Below are 25,077 nucleotides of genomic sequence, written 5' to 3' on the forward strand. Positions count from 1 at the left end.
AAAACTAGTTGGAATCACACCCCAGTCAGACCCCAGATCTTGACTGTGCCACAGAACCATGACTTATCCCCATGGGTGTCCCTATCAGGTATCCCTATCAGTGTCCTCAGACCAGAGATCTCCCAGAAGAGGCTTGCAAGCTCCACCAAGGGTGCTGACTTCTTGTTTCCAGACCTGCCATGTGCTTGTTGCTCCCAGCTGTCCACAGCAATCGAGCCTAAGGGCTGCACAGGAACCTGTGGGAGCTAGCAACAAGTGGGCAGGGGCAGCTGGATACAGGTACCTGGGTCAGGAAGATGGACTCTGTGCTCTTGGAGTCCTCATCTGATGGGCGCTCTGGGCTGAGGCGGACAGTTGTGTCACTCAGGTGGGACAGGGTCTCTTCACTATGCACAGTGGAGTTGGAGCAGATGGGAGGCAGTGGCACGAAGGTCCGGCAAGACGGGGAATGGCCTTCCAGGTTCTCAGTGGGCATCTCTGACTCCACAGAAGTGCTTTTGGTAGTGGGCAGATCTTCAGCCAGCTCTGCCTCTGGCTCTAGCATATCCTTTGAGGGAGACTTGGTTGTCGTCATGCGCGGGTGATGGAGCACCAGAGGCTGCTTCGGCACCTTTGGGATTTCGCTTTTCACCTGTCATGGAGAAGGGCCAGAATGAATTTGCTTCCTAATTAGGATTCTCTCCTCCTGGGCCTCACTAGCCTAAGGCCACTTGTATAGCAGCCGGAGTGCTGGGTACGGACTGAGGCGGGGGTGGAAAGGGAAATCATACTTGTTGGGCATCTATGATGTGCCCCATGCATGATGTAAGTTGTTTTATTTCTACCTTGAAACTACCCAATGAATAATTATCCCCAATTTTATAGATGAGGAAACAGGGGCTTAGAGAGGTAAAATGACCTGTCCAAGTCCCAGAGTGATTTGGCGGTAGTGCCTGGACGATGTAATTCCAGTCCTGGGCTCCAGGCTTCATGCTGCATCCCTGACCATACGTACTCTGGCCCTCAGTAGTCTCATTCTTCAGATGAGGGTTGAACATGGTGCCTATGGCTTTCCCCAGGGACTCCGAGGAGAGGGTGTTGGGGAATGGTCCTGTATTTTCTGGAAGATGACAGCACCAGGCCCCTTTCAGGATGCTGTTCCCTATACCTTATATAAAGATCCTAAAGATAGATCTCTCTGAAAGATTCAGGACCAAGAAAATAATTCCCTTAATTAGTAAAAGCCTGTGACCATTCTCCCTCTCCTCCTCAGCCTCAGCTGCCAGGAGGTGTCCATGTGCCCTCAGCTGGGTTTAGTCCTTTCTTTCTCCCCCTTTACATAGTGGATTGTTTTCACTCTTTGTCAGAGGTATTTGGTTCACTTATATCTGTACTTTTACTGAGAGATGTAAGTTGTGTAGTGGAAAGATTGCAAGCACTGTAGTTAGAAAAATGTGGGCTAGAATACAGGTCTATCCTTTGAGCACCTATTTCCTCCTTGTGCCTGTCTCACAGAGTTCCACCCAATGAAATGGTGTGTGCAAATGTACCTAATGGACTAAGGAGGGCGAAGGATGACTTTTATAAAATATGTTACTTTAAAAAAATGTATTTCCTTTTGGAAAATATGTGGAACCTCAGTGTTTAGACTCTGAGGGACCCAGAGTCTTTGTCTGAATCCATGCCACAAGGCACAGGGCACGGACACAGCACCGCACCTCAGCATCTAAAACACCAAGCGCCATCACTTGGCAGCTGGCGGGAAGGGACAGTTCCCCTTCCCTCTCATGGCTCTGTGAGAGAGATGTGCTAGAGGAAATGCTCTTTCTCTATCCCACCGCTACTTTCCCCGCCCCCTCCCAAGGGAGGAATGGGTAACCTAACTGGCCAGAGGTTGAGTCACTGGGCCCTGCTTCAGTCGTGGGCTGGATTACTGCTCATCAATGAGACCAGGCTATTTTATCTTCCATTTGTGTCCTCACATCAAAGGGCTCACACAGCTTCTTGGTTACAGGCCTGCTCTGGCAGGTTCTCCATTTTCCTCCTGTCTGTCCATGCCTAGGTGTGAGGGGAGGGACTGCAGCCTTTGTCCATGTAACCCCAGGGGTCTAATCTGCATTTCTAGCCCCATCTCTGTATGCACAATGAGGACATGCAGGCATCCCCAGTCTGACTCAGGACTAAGTCACGTTCTTCAGTCCAGAATAGAGGGTGTTTGCCTACATTAACAAAGCATTGATTTGTTTCTCATTTGGCCACTGGCATCTGTGTTTATTTAACTCATTTAGCTCAAAGGTTAGTCAGAACCTTTGATGGGAGGAGGTGTGAGGGGTCCCCTAGGACCCACACTAACTTTTAACAAGTCAGTTCACCTCTCTGAGTCTGTTGCTTCATCTACTGTGAGGATTATGGGATAGCATACACGTAAGAGCTCTGCAGAGTCCTGGGCATGGGGCTCTGTAAAGGAGAGAGGATTCTGCCCCTCCCTGGCTGGCTGATGGGAAATGATGGGGCAGATCCTTAAGAGGAGGTAACAGACAAGGAGGAAGATGATGGAAACCTTGGAATTTCTATTTCTGACTTCAAATGCTTGTCCAGTCCTCTGAGGACGTCAGACAAGAGCCTGGCTGGACAGAGGCGGGCTGCAGAGGGGGTGGCAAGGAAACATCTGTATTTAACTTTTGGGATCAGCAATGCTCAGCCCACCTTTTGGCTGTAGAAAGACTAAAGTTCAGGAGGGAGGAGCATTTCACAGAAATTTTTGAAATTCTTCAGATGAAAGAGGGATTTCACTTACTTTATGGCAAAGGAAGCAGACTTCTCTCAACATAAGGAAACACTTCCTTAAGATTCAGGCAGGAGATGTATTCTGGTCCTGCCTTAGCTATTCTTTTTTTTGTTTTGTTTTGTTTTTGTAGAGACAAGGTCTCACCCAGGCTGGTCTCAAACTCCTGCCCTCAAGCGATCCTCTCGCCTTGGCCTCCAAAGTGCTGGGATTAGAGGCGTGAGCCACCACGCCTGGCCCATAGCCATTCTCAATTACTGTAGGTGACTATAACTTTCAATGGTAAGAGTTTTAGGAGTTTAAAATATATTTTCATATCTGTTGTTTCATCCAGTGCTCTTCCCAAAGCAAGGAAAGGAGAAGGCAATGCTGAACCTAATGGAGAGATTCCAGGCACTGTGGAGTGAGCAGCTCTACAGCCAGGTTGGTTTGCATACATTATAATAGGCTGCACTCTTCCTGGGGGTGGGAGTCCTGCCTTGGAAGCCCTACCTTCCATGATTCCTTCCGAGACATCAAAACATGATGCTTAGGCTTTACTATCTTCCTTCGAATTAAGTGGATTCCCAGTCGCTCCTGGAGGAAGCTCTTCAGCAGTGGAGGGACCCCTGGTGCCATGATGGGAAAATAAGATTACTATTAGCTAAAATTTATACTGGGGCTTACTATGTGCCAGGCACTATTCAAATTGCTTTACATGTATTACTGAAACTTATTCTCAACCCTAGGAGGTAGGTCGAGAATTCCTACCTCCTAGGAGAATTCCTACCTCCTACCATTATTCCCATTCAATAGGCAAGGAAACTGAGGCACAGAGAGGCTAAGGAATTTGTCCAAGATAATAAAGATAGTGTGGAGTGATGATCAGAACTTCACTGGTGTCACTCCAGGGCCCAGGACTCTAAAATGCCTCCAACTCCTGTATCTTACACAGTGGCTCCACTGCTGACCACTCCATTCAGTGTGCTCTGGGAAGAGAGGCTCCTGCAGTTGGGGCTGCACCCCTCTGCAACTGGGAATTGGGAAATGAGGTCATGACAGAACTGTTCCACAAAGCAGGGTGTGGTTCAAAAGAGCTCATACAGGATTTAAAGAATTCCATATTCCATTCCCAACTCAGACTCTTTCTTGCTGTGTGACCTTGGGCAGATCATGAACCTCCCTGAGCCTCAGTTTCTACCACTGTCCGTGGGGACAATAATGCCTGCTCACAGGGTTACTGTCAGGAAGCGCTGGTACAGAGCTATTTCCTCCATTCCTCAATGTACCATGAACCTTGTCCACCCCGACACAGAGTAGATCCCAGGGCTTGGCATTGATGAGGTGGGGATGAGGGTGCCACACTGCTCCTTGGGCACTGGGTTGAGAGGGGGCAGGTTTGCGGGCACTATACCTCGTGTATGGGCCACCAGAGGGTTGTTATGAAAGACGAACTCGCAGAGAGATGGGAAGAGAGCTACTGGTAGGACAGCATCCTCTTTTGCGATCTGTAATGAATGCAGGAGAGACTCTCAGGTTGACACCACCCCTCACCTCTACCCAGGTATGTCTAGGCCCCTCACTGCAGGGCTACATGCTTGCTAGGATTGGGGGTGGTATTGGGTAAGACATGCTGCTGTGGATGGGACTCACTGCTGGGTGATGCCTTGACCCTGTAATAATACCTACTCATGCACAGAGTACCTTGCCCCTCCTGTCTGAAATTCCACCATCACTGTTGCGTGTTTAAGAGCTAAGAGTTTTTCCTCTTTTTTCCATGCTGGATATGTAGCCTACATCAAATACTAGGGAAGCTGGTGGCAAAATAATAAGAACAAACACATTTTTCGTACGAACAAACTCTTTATCTCATAAAGATTCTGGAAGGTTGGCAGGGCATTGACTTTAACTTCAGGATACAATTTGACACTTCATCTTCCTCAGCACAAACCTCTACACACTTCTGATGGCTCTTTCACTGAGGCCAGTCCTGGGCACTTATTTGGGGATGGACAGGGGGAAAGGAGGACCCACACATCTAAGGGATAAGTAGAGCCAGTGTTAAGAGAGACCTCATGGCTGTCTGGGACACAGAGAATGCCCTGTGAAGCCAGCCTGCAATCGGTGGCTTATTGGCCAAGCCAGCCTCTGAAGGGCAAAAAATATACAAGCTTTGTTGAGCAGACTGCCTGGAAAAGCTGGACCATCTTGGCGAGAGTATTTATTTGCAATGGAAGAGTATCAGGGACATCAGGATCGAAGGGGTCAGGAGTCAGGCAGTGGCCGATCAGACCCCTGGACACACTGAAAGGTATTGGGTCAGATGTAGGACCCAATGAAGGTACTGAAGTCCAAGGGCTGGAAGAGGGAGGGCACTTCAGTTTAGCTTCCTCCGCAGCCTTACTGGATAGCACTAGATTTCCACTAACTTCTTTCATTTTTATTCATTCAACCAACAAATATTTACTGAATACCTACCATGTCCCAGGCACTTTGTTAGGAATGAGCAAAACAGACACAATTTCTGCCCTCAGAGAGCACTGTCTAGTGGGAAACAAGCATTGGAGAAACAGTAACACAGGAGAATAGATTTACAATGTGATAAGTGTCACAAGAGAGGTGCATGAAGTACCAGGGTCATGTGACCTAGTCAGAGAGGTAAAAGGTGTCTCTGAGGTCTGAAGGAGGAGGAGGAGGTAATTAGCGAACGCAGTGAGGCATGGAGTGTGTGGTAGAGAAACCTCTGTATTAACCAAAACCATTTCTCTACCTCTAGCACACGGATTTTATCTCCTAGCCTCCCAGGCAGCTACATGTGGTCACATGACCCAGTTCCAGCCAACGCAACTTGGGCAGAAGTGGTAAATGCTACTTCTATGCACAGTCTGCACCCTCCTGTACCTCTTCTACTTTCTTCCCTTTACCACAGTCCCCCTGCTTGACCATCTAACAGGATACATAGGATCCAGTTGAGTAGTGTTAAGACCCTATGAGATGACAGAACATAGCCAGAGGGCATCTGGGTCTCTGAATGATCATGTGGAAGGCCACCTGCCAACCAGGAATATCCAAGATGGACTTTGTAAAAGCAAGAAATACACTTTTATTGTGTTAAGTGATTAAGATGTTTAAGTTTGTTGCAGTAGCTAGTCTTACTTTAATGCAGAGAGGAAGTGTCCTATACAAAGAGAAAAATGTGTGAAAGGCCTCATAGCCTGCTGGAAGAGTTTAAAGAAGGCTAGTGTGACTAAAAGCAGAGAGAAAGAGGGCACCTGGTGCAAAATGGGGCTGGAAATGCAAGTAGGGGCCAAACAAAAGGTGGTTTAAGATTTGGGTCCTTGGGGAACTCATTAGATGGATTTTAGAAATATGAGGACCTAAATTTGACAAGACTTGGTGATGATGTAGATACTGGGGGGGCGGAGGATGGGGAGGTACAAGAGAGAGAAGTATCAAAGGTGACAGCTGGTTTTTGCCTTGAGTAACTGGATGGAAGATGAAGCTATTCACTAAGGGAACAATGAAAGAACATACAATTTGAAGAAAAAATTTATCAATTTGCTTTGGGTATGTGTATGTTGGCGGTACTTTTGAGGCCTCCAGGTAGAAATGTCAAATAGGCAGTTGGATACACTGGTCTGGAATACAGAGGAGAGGTCTGCATTAGAGTTAGAAATTTTTGAGTCACTGTTCATGGGCCAGTGGCTATCTGAAGTCATCCCTAGGGAGACAGTAGGGAGTGAGAGGAAAGAAACTAGGAGTAGGCCTTGAGGGACTTTAACATTTGATCTTCTAGACCAGGGGATCAGCAAACCTTTTCTGTCAAAGACCATATAATAAGTGTTTTAGGCTTTGCAGACCATATGGTTTCTGTTGCAGCTATTCAATTTTACTATTGTTGTACAAAATCAGCCATAGACAATTCATAAATAGGTATGGTGGCTTTTTTCCAATACAATTTTATTTATGGACCCTGAAATCTGAATTTCATATAATTTTAACATGTCATGAAATTTTATCCTTGTTTTGATTTTTTTCAATCATTAAAAAATGTAAACACCACTCTTAGCAAACAGGCTATACCAAAACCAGGATTGGGCCCATGGCCCAAATCTGGCCCATGATCCATTTACTAAAGTTTCAGTAGAATACTACCTTTCTCTGGCTGGGCGCGGTGGCTCAGGCCTATAATCCCAACACTTTGGGAGGCCGAGGCAAGTGGATCACAAGGTCAGGAGTTTGAGACCAGCCTGGCCAATAGGGTGAAACCCCGTCTCTACTAAAAAAAAAATACAAAACAACAACAACAACAAAACCCCACAAAAATCAGCTGAGTGTGCTGGCGGGTGCCTGTAATCCCAGCTCCTCGGGAGGCTGAGGCAGAAGAATCACTTGAACCCAGGAGGTGGAGATTGCAGTGAGCCAAGATCATGCCACTGCACTCCAGCCTGGGCAACAGAGTGAGACTCTGTCTCAAAAAAAAAGAAAAAAGAAAAAAAATACTACCTTTCTCATTTGTTGCCATATTGCCTTTTGTCCCACAAGGGCAGAGTTAAGTAGTTGCAACAGAGTAAAATATAAAATTCTGCTGCCATTATCTAGACTTCAGAGATAGAGGATGAACCTAAAAAGGTGCCCAATATGTTTTGATAAATGACTATAATGGTGGTCAAAGTGGGTGTAGAGTCTTGTGTGTGCAAATCAAGGGGTCAAGAGACAATCACTAAAGAATGGGAGATGCAGAATTTAATCTTGTCAGGATGCAAAATTACATTCACCCGAACCAGGTGATTAAAAAGTTGAAGAAAATTACAATTAAGAATTGATAAAAAAATTGAATGATACTCAGGTCATGTGTGTGGTATTTTCTGTGAAATTAAGCCCAGCTGAAAGGTATGGGCTTAGGATTCTGGCTGACACAGCAAGCGGAAATCTGGCCATGGGGCTAGCCTGTTCTCTCTCGGGTGAGCTGAATGTTCTGGAGATGCATTCAGGTTCCAATGATAACTTTAAATTTCTTCTCAATCTCATTGGATTAAGGAGAGTGTAACAATCTGTCACATTTAGGAACTAAGTATTAAAGACCAAGTGAAAGTGATTATTTTACTTTTGACACAACAATTTCTAGTGAATATTCTGAGTAATTTTCTGATGAATATTCTAGATGTATAAGTTCTGTTTAAAGGCAGAATTTATTTTGAAGTTTGTAACTTTAATAAATTGAATATTAATTTCAACACAGCTGTATTATTTGACATGATTAAAACATCATTCATGGGGTCGGGTGTGGTGGCTCACGCCTGTAATCCTAGCACTTTGGGAAGCTGAGGCAGGTGGATCACGAGGTCAGGAGTTCAAGACCAGCCTGGCCAATATGGTGAAACCCTGTCTCTGATAAAAAACAAAAATTAGCCAGGCGTGGTAGCGGGTGCCTGTAATTCCAGCTACTTGGGAGGCTGAGGCAGGAGAATTGCTTGAACCCGGGAGGTGGAGGCTGCAGTGAGCCAAGATCGCACCACTGCACTCCGGCCTGGGCTACAGAGCGAAACTCCATCTGAACAACAACAACAACAAAAATCATTCATTCATCTAACAAACTTATTGAGCACCTATCATGTATCAGGTAATATTCTAGATAATGAGCATATAAGATGTAAGCAAAACAAAGTCCTAGTGCTAAAAAACAAAAGCACATTCTGGTAATAGATATGTGACAATAGACAAAAAGATATAATATGTTAGGTGGTAACTATCATAAAGTAAAATACCATTTAAAAACTCAGGTGCAAACATAGAAAAATGGAAAGAGTGCTGCTCCAACCTTAAGAAAACTACTGAATAATCTATAAAATCATAACTTTTCTTGAGTCCAATAGAGAGCTAACATCCCAGGACAATCATGCGGCCTGAAATCTAAGGAAATACTGGCACCTCCAAGGAGAGATGGGACACAGACACTGGCCTGCCTGTGGCAGAATGTGGCAGATGCAAGTGCCACACAAGCACTTAAGAAGAAATCAGGTAAAAATTTTAGTGAATTTATAAAGACCAAGCGTGGCCTAGAGTAAACCCCTTTAAGCTGCAGACATCCAGGGAGTTCACACTCACTAGTGTGAGAAAGACTGGAGGCAGGAGAGAGATTGATGACAGCCTTCCTCAGTGGTGTGAGCCTGGAAGAGGAGATAGCTCCCACCACAAAAAGGCAGGGGGCCTTACCAACCCTTCTCCATAGTTAACGAAAGCCTTCAGTTGCTGAGGAAGATCAGCAAACCCTGTCAGCTTGGGGCACTGCATCTTGGGTAGGGAAAAAATTAAAACCCACTACTCCTGTGGTTGGAGCAGGAAACCAACCTGGGCCTAGCACATTAGAGGTCTCCTACTGCTGGGAGAGGGGTAGGACCACTGAGAAAAGCCTATCCTTGAGACACAGGGTTGGTCCCAGGGCTGCCTAAGACTGGGGCTAGAGCCTCCTTTTGGCACCTACCACCACTTGCTACTTAGCAAGCACTAAGTAGCAAGCAAAAGCAGTCTACTGCTAGGGGGAGGAACAAGCATGTGGAGATAAACTTCTCTGAGGTGCAGGCACTCAGGGAAGGATGAAAGCTGAGGACAAAGCAGGAAAACTGAGAAAAACACTCTGGCACCCTAGGAAAAACCAGCTATATGCTGTCTAAAAGAGACACACCTTAACTACAAAGATATAAATAGGTTGCAAGTAAATGGACAGAAAGAGATACACCATGCAAACAGTAAGTATAAGGAAGCAAACAAAATAAGACATCAAGACAAGGAATATGATTAGAGGCAAAAAAAAAAGGCAACTCATAATTTATAAAAGTATCCATACATTTGGTAGATATAAATGTATCTGCATCAATAGCAGACTTCAAAATACATGGAGTAAAAGCTGACAGAACTAAAGGGAGAAATAAGTAAATTCACAACCACGTCTGGAGATTTTAACACACTGCTCTCAGTGATTGATAGAACAACTATACAACAGTACAGAGAAGATCTGAGTGACACAACCAACCACCTTAACTTAATATTTATAGAACACTTTCCCCCAAAACTGCAGAATATACATAGTTTTTGAAATGCACATGGAATGTTCACCAAGACAGACTGACCATAGGGTGAATCATAAAACAAGTTTAAATAGATTTCAGAAGAATGACATCTTACAGATTATGTTATCTGCACACAAAATAGATTAGAAATAAATACAAGACACCTAGAAGAGCCCCCATATATTTGGAAATTAACTAACTTATAAATAACCTGTGGATCAAAGAAGAAATCACAGGAAAAAGTGAAAATATTTTAATCGAATGAAAATAAAAAGAAAATATATTACAATTTGTAGGACTCAGCTAAAGCAGTGCTTGGAGAAGAAATGTAAAGCTTTACATGCTTATATTAGAAAGAAGAAAGGTCTAAATCAATTAACTAAAGTTATACTGCCTAAGATGCGAGAAAAAGAGGAGCAAATTAAAATCATTTTAAGTAAAAGAACAGAAAGTTATGAGCAGAAATCAATGAAATGGAAAACAGAGAAATCCAGTGAAACCAGCAGCTAGTTTAATAAGAAAAAGTCAATGAAAGAGGTAATGTCTAACTATTTTGGATCAATAAAAGACATAAATTACCAATTTCAAGAAGAGGGACCTGTGATACATCTATGGTCCACTGATTTTCGGCAAGGGTGTAACAGTGGGGGAAAGAATAGTCTTTTCAATAAGTGGTATTGAGAAAGCTGGATATCCACATGCAAAAGAATGAAGCCGATGCCTGTCTCACACTATATATAAAGATTAAGTTGAAATAAAGACCTAAATGTAAGAGCTGAAACAATAAAACTCTTAGAAGAAAACACTTGGGGAGTTTAGCTGTATCAGCTGCTTGCTGTAGAGGAATGTAAGCAGAGTATCTTACAAGTTTCCTGCATTTCAGACTTGAGTAGGGCTCAGTTAGTGGGATTTTACAGAAAACCAAACAGGACATGAACATTGGAAAAACATGTTAAATCTGTCCCTTATCCTTTATATCTGCTGTTCCCCTTAGGCTACAACATTTCTACCCTCACTTGACTCACCCCTCTTCACCTGATTAAACTCACTGATTCAGATCTCAGCTTAAACACCACTTTCTTGAGAACCTTCCTTGATCCCAAGTATTAGGTTAGACACCTCCCCTCCATCATTTACTTCATAACACTGTGAATTTCTTCATAACACTAAGCATGCTCATATTGTGATGATTTGTCCATATCAGTCTTCCTGTCTTCCTTATAGGTGATAAGTTGCAAAAGGGCAGAGAGGCCAAGTCTCTTTCCACAGCTGTATATCTAGTGCCTACCACAGAGCCTGGCACATGGTAAGTGCTAAATAAATATCTGTGACTGAAGAGATGGACTCCTGCCTTGGCCTGAACTCCTTCCACTTTCCCCACCCTGAGAATTCCTGAGCCCATGTACCTGTAATGCAGGGAATTGAATGGAGGGTTGGTTTTTAGGCCAGAGCAACTTGCATCCCACCTTCCCATCTGTGCCCCTGAGTAAACAGGAGAGGAGCAGAAAGTCACCTTGTTGTAGGCCAGGCTAAGGTATCTCAGCTCTGGGAAGGGTGGGGCCAGCGTCTGGTTCCTGGCCTTCAGTGACTTCACAGGAAGGATCTCGAATATGGGAGGAAGTGAACATATCTTGGTTGTCTTAGAAAGAAGGAAAAGTCAAAATCAAAGTGCCCGATAATAAATAAGGCCACTAAGGGCCAACAGACCCTTTCAATGGAACAGGGTGGAATGAATGACCTTCCTAGAGAGACTTGGCCAAAAGAGACATGTAGGGTCATAAGGGTAGATGTCGCCATCAGCCCAGAATTCTGGCTCCAAGTTCTCTTAGGAGAATTAGCTTACATGATGAGCTAATTCTCAAGCACCCAAAGTTCCATTTTCAAGTTTTCTGAGGCCACAGGATAATATAGCACTGGTGCAGACATCAGAGGTACTTGGTCCCCACCCCCTCCCTCTACCCTACAGCAGCTTACCCTGAATTGGCCCTTCTACACAGTTGGGCTAAAATTTCTCCAGAAGGCAAAGGGGAAGGTGCTTGTGTTCTTAAGGGGAATTTTTCTAGGGAGGAGAGGGAGAGGGAGGTGTTTTGAGCCTTGAACACCTGCTCTGATGGGCTAGCCCACATCCTCGAGTGGAGGGTCTTCATTTGAGGATGAAACAACAGTCCTAAATGACTTCAACCTGCCCGTGGGAGCTGAATGTGGCATGCTGCAGCTGGATCCCTTGCAGGGTCATGTTCTTTTCATACAACCCAGACTGCCACAGGTTCAACATATTTGATCAAGCAGAAAAAGGTAATTGTTGGTTTAACTATACATAACTCAGTACACTCACTGATTCCTGAGTTCGATGGGACCACAGGATATTATAAGGGTAGATGCTGGGCTAATGGTTAGGTTCAGATGAACTAGATTCCATCTTAAGCTGAATTAATTAATCACTATGGAATCTTGAGCAAGTCACTTAAATTTTGCTTGTTCATTCAGTGAACATTTGTGGGGCACTTACTTTGAGCCAAGTATTTTGTACCCTTCTGGGTCAACTTGTAAAACCACACAAGTGGACAGGTCAGTCATGGGTGAGCATAAAACAAAAACCAGCGACTGTGTTTGGGAACTCAGATGACTCGCCTCTCCCAGTGATCCCAAGGCAATTTCTGAGACGCAAGAGTGGAACATGGTGGCGGTCTGATAAGGCAGTATCCTCCACTATGTAATTCCCTACTTGGAGCAAGGCTGTGTGAACTGAAGGGGGTAAGTCATACTGCAGTACAGAAAAGGAAAAGCCAGAGAGTCAAGATGAGGAGTATCCTGACCCAAGGGCATAACTGGCCCTGATGGGGGCAGAGAGGGCCCTGTCTTGGAGGGAGGTGCATCTGATTTTAATAGAGTAAGGCCACTAAAAGTCTCAACTATCCAACTCACTTTCTAGATTTTCAGATGTCAGAGAGCTGATCTGAGCACTGAGCAATCCTACAAATTATCTTTGACTTGTGTGGTAGACTGTTTAATGGTCACAAGCCCCTCCATCCCACATACATGCCCTTTTGCAGTGTGACCTTGCTGCTCCTCCCATTCAGAGGTGGAGACCATGTGTCTACCCTCCTGAAATTAGACTGGCTGTTACATAAGAAAAAATTTGTCTGGTCTTTATCCCAGGTTCCTGGCACTGAGCTTCTAAAACTCTTGGAATTTTCTGAGTGATAGGAATATCTTTGTTATGCAGGACCCCTTGAGTCACACCTGAGTTTAGGATAATGAGATGACTCAGGATGGAGGCTGGCCATGCCAGAAAGACTAACCATGTGACTAGAGAGTTGGGGCTTTGCACCAGCATGACCCCTGGGGAGGATAAGGAACTAGAAATTAAGTTCAATCAGGTGGCCAGTGAGCCTCCAATAAAAGCTCTGGACTCTGAGGTGTGGGTGAGCTTCCTGGTTGGTGAGCACATCAATGTGCTGGGAGGGAGACATGCCCTGATTCCACAGGGAGGGGGCATGAAAGCTCTCAGACCTCACCTTATATGCCTTTTCATTTGGCTGGTCCTGATTCGTGTCATTTATAGCTGGGGTCCCCAACCCTCGAGCCACAAACCGGTGCCAGTCCCTGGCTTGTTGGGAACTGGGCCGCACAGCAGGAAGTGAGCAGTGGGTGAGTGAACAAAAACATCATCTGTATTTACAGCCACTCCCCGTTGCTCAAATTACTGCCTGAGCTGCACCTCCTGTCGGATCAGCAGTGGCATTAGATTCTCATAGGAGCACAAACCCTGTTGTGAACTGGGCATGCAAGGGATCTAGGTTGTGTGCTCGTTATGAGAATCTAATGCCTGATGATCTGTCACTGTCTTCCATCACCCCAAGATGGGACCATCTAATTGCACGAAAACAAGCTCAAGGCTCCCACTGATTCTACACTGTGGTGAGTTGTATAATTATTTCATTATATATTACAATGTAATAATAACAGAAATAAAGTACATAATAAATGTAATGCACTTTCATCATCCGAAACCACCCACCCCACCCCAGTCCATGGAAAAATTGTCTTCCACAAAACTGGTCCCTGGAGCCGAAAAGGTTGGGGACTGCTGCATTATAGTAAAACTGTGATTGTAAGTATAACCCTTTCCTGAGTTTGAGTTGTTCTAGAAAATTACTGAACCTGAGTGGGTTGTGGAAACTCTTGAATTTATCACCAGTTGGTCAAAGTGTGGATAGCCTGGGGACTTCCAAACTTGTGGCTGGCCTCTGAAGTGAAGGAAATCTTTTTGGGAACTACCCTCACTTGTGGGCTTTGTGCTTAACTTGTGGAGTCTGCGCAAACTCAGGGGTCAGCGTCAGAATAGTACAGCAGTATAATACGGGGCTTTTGACTTGCTTTGACCAATAGAATGTGGAGAAGTGACACTATTTCAATTTCAGAACTTTTTAATTCGCCCTTGCTCTCTTGAAACCCTGATGCTGTAATGAAACCATACTGCAATGTAGCCCAGGAGGAAAAGACCACAAAGAGAGAAGATGCCAAGCCATACCAGCTGTGTACCTGAGCCCAGCCTGCAGCTACCCTGCCAGCTAAATGCAGCTGTATAAGTGAGCCTTGGTGGAGCCAGTGGAATCACTTCGTCGACTCAATTGTGAGTGGTGAAAAATAATGAATTGTTATTGGGTTGGTTTGGTAAGCAGCTATAGTTAACTGATAGAATTTCTCACACAGTTCTATCTGTGGGGAGGTTGTATACTGAGCTGCCTCTCAAGGATGCAGGTTGGCTAAATGAAGAGATATACTATTTATTGTAAATGAATAAATCAATATTTGGTTTACATGTACCAGTCCCCACGAGCATCTGCCATGAGAGAAAAAACAATTTTCTGTGCTGATGAAAATCAAGGGTCTAAGCCTGTGACATCAACGATTAGGTCCTGGATAGTGGTGTATCTGGCAAGGACTTTTCCAGCTTTGGGGGACTCTTGTTAAGGAGCTGCTGGTAGCAGCCCCACTTCAATGCCAATTTTATCACTTGAGGCAGCTGCCATTATTACATTATGCTAAACAGCATGTGAGAACAATGAAAGTTAGACTAGGCAGGTAAGGTCAAGACATGTCTGTCTGTGGCCAGCACAGGACCTGGTACAGGTAAGGTCAAGACATGTCTGTCTCTGGCCAGCACAGGACCTGGTACATGATAGGTACTTGGCAACTACCTATTCAATGAATGGGCTTCCTCAGTGTGATCTATAGAAATGACTCTCATGGCTCCATTATTTTATTTGATTTTGTCTATTAAAATTAATGTTCTAACTCAGGAACACAAATATAAAGTAGTCAGTTCCTACCTCTGAGGTTGAAAATCCAGGGTAAGATGAAAACACAACCTCTGAAACAGAAGAGAAACAGAATGAAGGTTGGTGAGACCGCTGATTGATGCCTAGAGCACCCAGGATATAGGTCTGCCATCCACTGTGTGCAGCAGGGCACCTCCTAGAGGGAGTTCTCATTGGTCCTCAGCCCCAGTGCTAACTAGGAAGAGGAGCTGGCTGTGACATGCATCAGGTAATAAGTCCCTTTGCACTTAGGATAAAATACAAACTGCTTATCTAGTCCTCTGATGTCCTGCATGATTGGGCCCCTGCCTACTTCTTCAGTCTCATTTCATGATACTCTCCCTCATTCACTGTATTTCAGCCACACTGACTGACCTTCAATCTGACTTTAAAGCACATAAGCACTTTCGAGCCTCAGAATTACTGGGGAGTCCATACTGAGCAGAAAGCTAACCAACTGTCTTAGAAGAGAAAAATGTATATAGAAGACATTCTGTCAGAGGATTTGGAAATATTTCTTATATTAGTAGAAACAGAATGTGTTGAGCCAGTGAATTCAGGAGAGATACCAAGAACAACCAGCACACAGTCATAAGGAGGAGGCTGCAGAGTGATTTCATTCTTGGGACCGTCAGAATGAGATGAGTCTAACAGCTGAGTTCAACCTAACACAGCATAGCATCTGCTGGGACTAGATCCTGTGCAGACATTGCTCACCTTTACCCTAGTTAACCGACACCTTCTACATGTTAATGATATTATAATGAGACAAGTCACATGAAAATGAAGAAAACAGTAATAGGAGATGGAACAACATGGCATAAATAACTTCTCCTGTGATGAGGGTCTGCAAGGGAGTTTGGGAAAGCTTTGTGCAATGAACAAAGTAGGAATTCCCTGGGGGATGGGCCATGGTTGCAAGTGTGAGTGCTAAGCAATGAACCCTAGAAAACAACAGCACCTCTAGAAAGATGGGCACGCTGTCTGAACGCGCATCCTGCTCTCCCCACAATCACAGGAATTACTGCATTTTAAGCTTCTGATTGAGGATTGTTACACAAAAAGACTGAATAATCAAGAATCTCCTACTATTTGAGGAAAATTAACAATATAAAAAAGGGAAGAATTATCACCTGAATAAAAACAGTTTATTTAACAAAAGTTATAAAAACTTCAAAATAGAATAATTAGTATCCTCTGAGAAATTCAAAAGTTTCACTCCTGAAACAAAAGCAGATTGTTGTGGAAGCAAAGCTACTAACAAAGCTGTAAATTTATAATGAAAATAACTCATACATGTGCTGGATAGAAGAATGGACCCAGGTGAACTAATTCATAAAATGGAAGACTGAGTGGAGAGACTCTCAGAATGCAAAAAGGCAGAGAGAAGATGGTGGAATAGAAAGTAACCCACTCATGTCCCCTCACAACCACAAAAATTCCACACCCGCCCACAGTCAAAAGTCTCTCTGCAGGAGCATCAAGATTCAGGTAGGAGTTTTTGAAACCCTGGTGGATCCCAAGACATTGAAGGATTGTTTTGAGGGTACAGACCAACACCCAAGTGGCTGATCCACCAAGCTTGCTCCCCAGTTCAAGCCTAGAAACACCCCAGGCTTCCAAGGTCCTGGGCTACAGCCATATTTGGCCTTGAGCCTGCAACCAAAACCATCTGCAGAGAGGTCCAGAAGGAGTAGTGCACACTAGTGCCTTGGTGGAAAGGCTTGTCTGCCTGCTGACATTGATCTTAGCAGTAAGCCTGAAAGTTGCCGTTTTTCTGATCCACCCCCTCTCAGCTGAGGTCCCTGCTCACAGCCTCTTGCACAAGGACCCAGAGGGAGACTCACCTATATCTTGCAGCCTGAGGCTCCCAGATGAGTTCACCAACTTCTGTCCCACAGCAAATTCTGAGGGGACCCAGTTTGAGACCTGGTCCCTCCAGCTGCAATCAGAGAACTAACCAGACTGTGCAGGGACTTGCTGGAAGACACATGCCCCTCTGAGCCAATGAGGCTGGGCTTTCTAGCCTTTACCCTACAGCAAATCCTGAGAGGACCCAGTCTCAGCTCTGACCCCTGTCACTACAGTGGAGAATTATCCTATCTGTGCTGAGACCTGCTGGGAGACACATGCCTGTCTGGGCCAACAAGATGGGCTTCTTCCCATATCAAATCCCAGCGGGGCCCAGTGTCAGCCCTGGCCCCTCCTGCTGCAATCAGGTTACTATCTCATCTGCATAGGGACTTGCTAGGAGACACATGCCCCTCTGAGCCAATGAGACTGGGCTCTCCAGCCTCTACCTCACAGCAGATCCTGTGTGGGCCCAGTCTGCGATTTGGCCCCGCCTGCTATAGTCAGGGAACTATCCTATCTGTGCAGGAACTTGCTAGGCAATGTGCACCTCCCTGAACCAAGACAGGGCTCTCTAGCCTCTGTTCCACAGCAGATCCCAAGGGGGCCTATGGTCAGTTCCAGCCCCTCCCTCTACAATCAGGGAATTATTCCATCTGTGCGGAGACATGCAGGCAGATGTGTGCCTGTCTGAACCACCATGACAGGCACACCAGCCTCCATCCCACGGCAGATCCCAAGGGGACCCAGTCTCAGTTCTGGTCCCTCTTGTTGCAGTCAAGGAACTACTTGTGCAGGGACCTGCTAGGTGACATACACCTGTCTAAGCCAATGAGATGGACCACCAGCTTCATTCCTACAACAGATCCCAACATGCCCCAGTCTTAAATTCAGTCCCTCTGGCTACAGCTGGGACCCATCCTGCCCATGCAGAGACCTGCTGGGAGGAACACATATCTGGGCCACTGGGACAGTGTTCTGGACTCAGGTCCCCTTGGCCAACATTCCCACATAGCCCCAGTCCTGTGTTTGGGTCTTCCCAGAGCCATTTGGGCCAGAAAGCCACACCAATCTCAGTCTTTGCAAGACTTGCAGCAAGCCTGGGTTTAGACCATCGCTCAGTGCTGAGATGCCAGTAGTGGTCCCAAGCTCAGGAAATGTAACAGTCAGTCTGCCTAGAATCCCTGGAAGTCCCTCTGAAGAAGGACAGGCACACACAAAGCCAGACTACAAAGGCAAAAATAAATACCTAATATTTCAAGGCACGGATATCATCACACTTCTACAAACATCAGGAATATTCAGGGAAATATGACGTCACCAAACAGACAAAATAAGATGCCAGAGATCAAACATAAAGTAATAGAGATGTGTGATCTCTCAGACAAAGAATTCAAAAGAACATTTTTTTGGGTTTTTTTATTTTTTTTGTTTTGTTTTGTGCTTTTTTTGGAGACAGGCTCTCATTCTGTCACCCAGGTTGGAGTACAGTGACATGAACATTGCTTACTGCAGCCTCAACCTCCTGGGCTCAAGCAATCCTCCCACCTCAGCCTCCCATGTAGCTGGGACCACAGGCATGCACCACCATGCCTGGTTAATGTTTTTATTTTTTTGTAGACATGGGAGACTCACTTTGTTGCCCAGGCTGGTCTTGAACTCCTGGGCTCAAGCAATCTTCCTACTTCAGCCTCCCAAAGTGCTGGGATTATAGGCATGAGTCACTATGCCCAGCCAAAACAGATGTTTTAAGGAAGCACAGTGAACTTCAAGAAAACACAGAGAATCAGTTCAGAAATTTACCAGAAAAATTTAACAAGGAGATTGAAATAATTAAAAAAAAAAAAAAATCAAAGAAATCCTGGAATTGAAAAATATAATGAATGAAATGAAAAAGTCAACAGAGAGTATCAACAGCAGAATTAATCAAACAGAGGAATCAGTGAGCTCAAAGATTATATGAAAATATACAGTCAGAGGAGAAAAAAGGAAGAAGAATGAAAAGGAATAAAAGCTTGCAGGATCTATGGGACAACATCAAAAAAGAAAATATTAGGGTTGCTAAAGTTAAAGAGGGATATGAGAAAGACAAAAGGGGTAGAAAGCTTATTCAAAGAATAACAGAAAACTTTCCAAATCTGGAGACTGGGTGGGTGTGCACGTACCCCACCATGCCATTACTGCCAGCATAAGCACACCCACTTCCACTGCCACTGCCAGCATGAACATTAAGCATGGACACCAGTGGCCCTGCACCCTGGCCCATCCAAAGGATGGCACCTTCAAAGATTGAAGGAATACCAGCCCACACAGATGAGAAAGAACCAGACAAGAACTCTGGCAAATCAAAAAGCCAGAGTGTCTTTTTACCTCCAAATGACCACACTAGTTCTCCAGCAATGGTTCTTAAACAGGTTGAAATGACAGAAATGGAATTCAGAATATGGATGGGAATGGAGATCACTGACATTCAGGAGAAAGTTGAAACCCAATACAAGGAATCTAAGGAATAAATAAAATAATATGGGAGATGAAAGATGAAATGGCCATGTTAAGAAAGAAGCAAAGTGAGCTGATACAGCTGAAAAGCTCACTTTAAGAATTTCAGAATACAACTGCAATGTTAACAGCAGAATCAACCAAGCTGAGGAAAGACTCAGAGCTGAAAGACTGGCTCTTCAAAATAACTCAGTCAGACCAAAATAAAAAAATAGTAAGGAAGAATGAGCAAAACCTCTGAGAAATATGGGATTATGTAAAGAGACCAAAAATATGACTCATTGGTATCCCTGAAATGCAAGGAGAGAAAGCAAGCAATTTGGAAAACACATTTCAGGTTATCATGCATGACAATTTCCCCAACTTTGCTATAGAGGCCAACATTCAAATTCAGGAAATGCAGAGAACCCCTGTGAAATACTACACAAGAAGACCATCCCCAAGAAACATAGTAATTGGATTCTCCAAGGTCAAAATGATAGAAATGTTAAAGGCAGCTAGAGAGAAAGGACAGGTCACCTACAAAAAAAAACCCATCAACTAACAAACAGCAGACCTTTCAGCACAAACCAGAGGAGAATGGGGGCCTATAGTCAATCTTTTTTTTTTTTTTTTTTTCTGAGACAGAGTCTTGCTCCCGTCATCCAGGCTGGAGTACAATGGTGCGATCTTGGTTCACTGCAACCTCCGCCTCCCAGGTTCAAGTGATTCTCATACCTCAGTCTCCCAAGTAACTGGGATTACAAGCATGCGTCACCGCACCTAATTTTTTGTATTTTTAGTAGAGACAGGGTTTCACCATATTGGCCAGTCTGCTCTTGAACTTCTGGCCTCAAGTGATCCACCTGCCTCAGCTTCCCAAAGTGCTAGGATTACAGGTATGAGCCACTGCGCTGGGCTCAACATTCTTAAAGAAAAGAATTTCCAACCAAGAATTTCATATCCAGCCAAGCTAAGCTTTGTAAGTGAAGGAGAAATAAGATCCTTTTCAGACATGCAAATGCTAAGGGATTTCATTACTATCCGACCAGATATGCCTTACAAGAGGTCTTGAAGGGAGTGCTAAACTTGGAAAGAAAAGACTGTTACCGGCCACTACAAAAACACACTTAAGTAAATAGACCATTAACACTATAAAGCAACCACATGAACAAGTCTGCATAATAATGAACAAATCCTCACATATCAATATTAACTTTGAATATAAATGAGCTAAATGGCACAGAGTGATCAGTTGAATAAAGAAGCAAGACCTGATGGTATGCTGTCTTCAAGAGACCCATCTCACATGTGATGACACCCATAGGCTGAAAGCAAACGGATGGAGAAAAATCTACCAAGCAAATGGAAAAGAGAAAAAAAGCAGGGGTTGTTGAAATTATTCTAAACTCAGACAAAACAGACATTAAACCAACAAAGATTAAAAAAAAAAAGACAAAGAAGGATATTATATAATGGTAAAGAGCTCAATTCAACAAGAACTATCCTAAATATATATGCATCCAACAGAGGAGACCCAGATTCAAAAAGCAAGTTGCTTTTAGAGACATATAAAGAGACTTGGATAAACATACGATAATTGTGCAGGACATGAATACCCCAATAATAATATTAGATCATTGAGGCAGAAAACTGACAAAGATATTAATGACCTGAACTCAATACTTGACCATATGGACCCAATTGACATCTACAGAACACTCCACCCCAAAACAACAGAATATACATTCTTCTCAGCTGCACATGGCACATATTCTAAAGTCAACCACACAATCAGATATAGAACAATCCTCAGTACAATTTTAAAAAAAAATGAAATCATACTAACCACACTCTTGGAGCACAGCACCATAAAATAGAAATACTAAGAAAATTGCTCAAAACCATATAATTACATTGAAATAAACCTGCTCCTGAATGACTTTTGGGTAAATAATGAAATTAAGGGAGAAATCAAGATATTCTTTGAAACTAAAGGAGAACAAAGAGGCAACATACTGATACAGGAGGTAGAAAGAAATTATTTAGGCAGATAGGGTAAAAGAGTCCTCAGCAAAGCTTCCCTTTTAGCAAGAAGCAGCCCAAGAAATTATTTTTTTCTAACAAAGAGCAGCCTGAAAAACTGAGCTGAAAACATAGATAAGCAAGCTGGAAGTTTGCATGGGGGAATGCCAGCAGTTGTGCCAATAGAAAAGGGCTACCTGGGAGCCAGGCATGTCCAACATGGAGGCTCCATCTTTTCTTTTTTTGTTAATATGTGTACAGTAAAGGGATGGGCAACATGGTGCAGGCCAGGCAGAGGACCTGCCTGCATATTAGAAGATTAGTATGGGGGCGACCATTTTTTTGTGCCCTATGCAAATGACAAACCTAGTTCTAATGAGTTTTTCATACCCTATGCAGATGGCACACCTGGTCCAACCAATCTTTCACACCCTATGTAAATCAGATACTGCCTCCTCATCAGGCACCTATAAGAGCCCCTGCATTTAACCACAGATCTGACAAGCCATTTCTCTGGGATCCCCCTCTCCAGCAGAAAGCTATTCTCTTTCACCTATTAAACTTCCACTCTTAACCTCACTCTTTGTGTGCCCAGGTCCTTGATTTCCTCAGCCATGAGACAACAAACCTCGGGTATCACCCCCAACAATGAGGCCACTTCATTGTGGGGCCCATCTGGGATCCAAGGTAGATTCATCAGAAGGGTGAGTATAGGAGCAGACCCCAAATCTTTACTTTCATTTTGGGGCCTTCTGCCCTCCATTTTAAAATAAAACCAAAAACATTCGGTGTCTGATGGCCACCTAGATGCCCTTAGGGAATGCCACCCATCTCAAGACTTAGACAACAGGCTTGCTCGGGAGAACTTAGTGAATCCCTCGGTACCCTCAGGGTGCTGGGAATGTTGACTGTGTTTCAAACCAGTTTCCTTTCATGGAGAGCCTAGCTATTGCATGGGGCTGGAAGAGGTCCAGAGGCAACTGATAGTTCCTGGCCAGGGCTACACCCAGGTGTTACCCGAAGGCTTCTGGATTAACCTCAGACTCTGACTGCCCACTGAGCATCAGTAACAGGATCTCCAAGCTTTTCCTATTGCATTTTTCCTTCTTTCCTGTCGACTGCCATGTCTCCTATCCCCTCTCTGTATGAAATGCTGTGGGAATTTTTACACTTCAGGGAAATAATCCTGTTAGATAGCATCAGCAAATGCCATAGTAACCAGGAATATAATGCAAAGGATTGCCATTTTTGTGATTTTCTAGGAATAGAAAGGATCTCCCTTTCCCTGGCAGTGAGCATCTCTCTCCCCGCTTGCTCTGGAGATCACATGGTATTTCAAGGTCTACAGCACCACCTAGTGGAATAGAAATCCTCTCCATGAGGTACCTTGTCAGCCCTTTGCCTAAACACTCTAGTTTTCCAATTCTCCTCCCCTTTTGTACTCCTCTACTAGAGGCCAGGCTTTATGCTCCTTCTGTGAATGGGAAAACTCAACAATGAGGAGGAAAATGCCCTCCAAAACCAAATTTTAGTTTTGATATTGTCCCATCAGCAGGAAAACCACCATTCAGTTCCTACATTCTTTTAAGGCACTTATTCTGCCTCTCATTAAAATGGTACTTAAATAGTAAGGGGATGTAATGTCTTAAAGTTAACCAGAACCACTGCCTAACAATAAATATTTTAGTCCAGGCCATAATAGCAGTATAGAGCTCAACCCAGTACACTCTCTCCATTAAAGGGCCTTGCAAATACAACTGTTATATAGTCTTTCCCAAGAGCCATCTATCAGGTAGCCACATAGATCACAGAAGTTAGGAAGTCAAAGGGAAATCACCAGTGGAGGATTAGAGTTGCATGGGTGAGTGTGACTAAATCCATCACTTAGCTTCTCTAGATCCATGCCTGAGGGACATGCCTGCATCCAAGAGTAGCACCTTTTAACAGATGCCGAGGCTCAGGGAACCAAGAAGGGAAAACAGTTGGGGGATGCTCCCATTGTCTTCCTGTCTACCTTGGGCCATTCTAAAGGAAGGAGGGGAATAAGGGACTCCTTGTCTCCCCTAGCTTTCTAGCCATCTTTAGCCTGCACCCCGCTCAAGTGCATTCTGAAGCACTGAGACTCCTTTAATCCTGAAACTGCTTTTGCACAAGGGCATGGCCTTCTTACTAGACCTTTGCATGCACTGGACAATCAACCAAGCTCTTTTAGCAGTCATATCAGGCAATCCAAAAGGTAATGATTCCCCAAAACTAAAAAAGCAACTTCAGGCAGCTATTGAGTGTCCCGGCTCTTCCTGTCCCCCTTATTTAGGGCCCCCTCCAACTGTGCCATCAGCTCCTCTAGTTCCACTATCTCCAAAATTCCCCACTCCCCCAGCTTCACTCTTACCCCTGCAGGAAATGACCAATGGAGGTGATGCCACTAGGGTTCAAGTTCCTGTCTCATTGCATGACCTTAGGCAAATAAAGGGATACTTAGGCTGATTTTCTGATGACTCCGATAGGTATAAAGAAGCTTTCCAAAATTTAACTCAGGTGTTTGACCTCTCATGGAGAGATGTTATGCTGCTCCTAAGCCAAACCCTAACCGCAGCTGAAAAGCAGGCAGCTCTGCATGCATCAGAGAAATTTGGAGACAAGCAGTATGTTTCTTACAGTAGGCCAAAAAGGAAAAGAGAAAATAGGGAAGGTGAAGAGATAGGGGAACCATCATTCCCAGTAGAGAAGAGAGGCAGTACCTCTTGACAACCCTGATTTGGAACCCTGATGACTCCACAAATGAATGGAAAAGGAAACACTTATTAATGTGCATATTGGAGGGCCTATAAAGAACTAGGAGAGCCAAACCTCTTCATTACTCTAAACTGTCCAAGATAAACCAAAAGCCAGATGAGAATCCTGCAGCCTTTATGGAAAGGCTGAGAGAAGCACTAATAAAACACACCTCCTTATCCCCTACTCAGTCAAGGGACAGCTAACCCTCAAGGACAAGTTTATTATACTGGCAGCTCCCAATATTAGAAGGAAACTGTAGAAGCAGGCTATAGGACCAGATAGCACCTTGAAAAACCACTTGAGGGTGGTTACCTTGGTCTTTCATAATAGGGACCAGAAGGCGGCCCTGGAGAAAGAGAGGAAACGCGAGAGAAGGCAGAGGCTCTAGTAGCTGCTTTGCAAACTTGCAAAGTCCAGGATCCCCAAGGTGTATCCATTAGTTGCTACCAGTGTGGCAAGTCAGGGCACTTTAAGAAGGAGTGCCCAGGCAGCAAGTAGAAGCCACCCCAACCATGTCCAGCCAGTGGTTGGGACCACTGGAGATCAGACTGCCCCTGGAGATGGAGGTCACTGGGTTCAGAACCAGTCTCACAGATGGTCCAACAGGACTGTTGGGTCCTGGGGTTCAGACCCCTGGCTCCAGCAGCTGAAACTGTCATTACTGCACAGGAGCCCCAGGTGATTCTGAAAATTGAAGGAAGGAAGGAAGGTGGACCTTCTTCTAGACATTGGAACCAGCATCCCTCTTCTCCCTAATCCCCTTTTCCCATAGCATGACCATGATGGGCATCTCAGGTAAAGTTCTAAC

At 44.4% G+C, this 25,077-nt stretch overlaps 1 protein-coding gene across 69 annotated transcripts in view; it reads right to left on the reverse strand.

The window, feature by feature from the left end:
* Nucleotides 1-25,077, reverse strand: part of XRRA1 (X-ray radiation resistance associated 1) — a 108,182-nt gene that overhangs the window by 6,922 nt on the left and 76,183 nt on the right. For 14 of the 69 annotated variants that reach the window (NM_001378171.1, XM_047426407.1, XM_047426401.1 and 11 more), the window contains 2 exons: nucleotides 3,257-3,372; nucleotides 284-631 (listed from right to left, as the gene is read on the reverse strand). In NM_001378171.1, coding sequence (NP_001365100.1) covers nucleotides 284-631; nucleotides 3,257-3,372 — 464 coding nt within the window. Of the gene's footprint in view, nucleotides 1-283; nucleotides 632-3,256; nucleotides 3,373-4,157; nucleotides 4,252-11,326; nucleotides 11,453-15,149; nucleotides 15,191-25,077 lie in introns of all 69 variants that reach the window. The other 55 variants (XM_047426392.1, XM_011544765.2, XM_047426388.1 and 52 more) reach the window with 12 other exon arrangements.

This window comes from Homo sapiens, chromosome 11, assembly GCF_000001405.40.
Source record: "Homo sapiens chromosome 11, GRCh38.p14 Primary Assembly".
Classification (NCBI taxonomy): domain Eukaryota; kingdom Metazoa; phylum Chordata; class Mammalia; order Primates; family Hominidae; genus Homo; species Homo sapiens.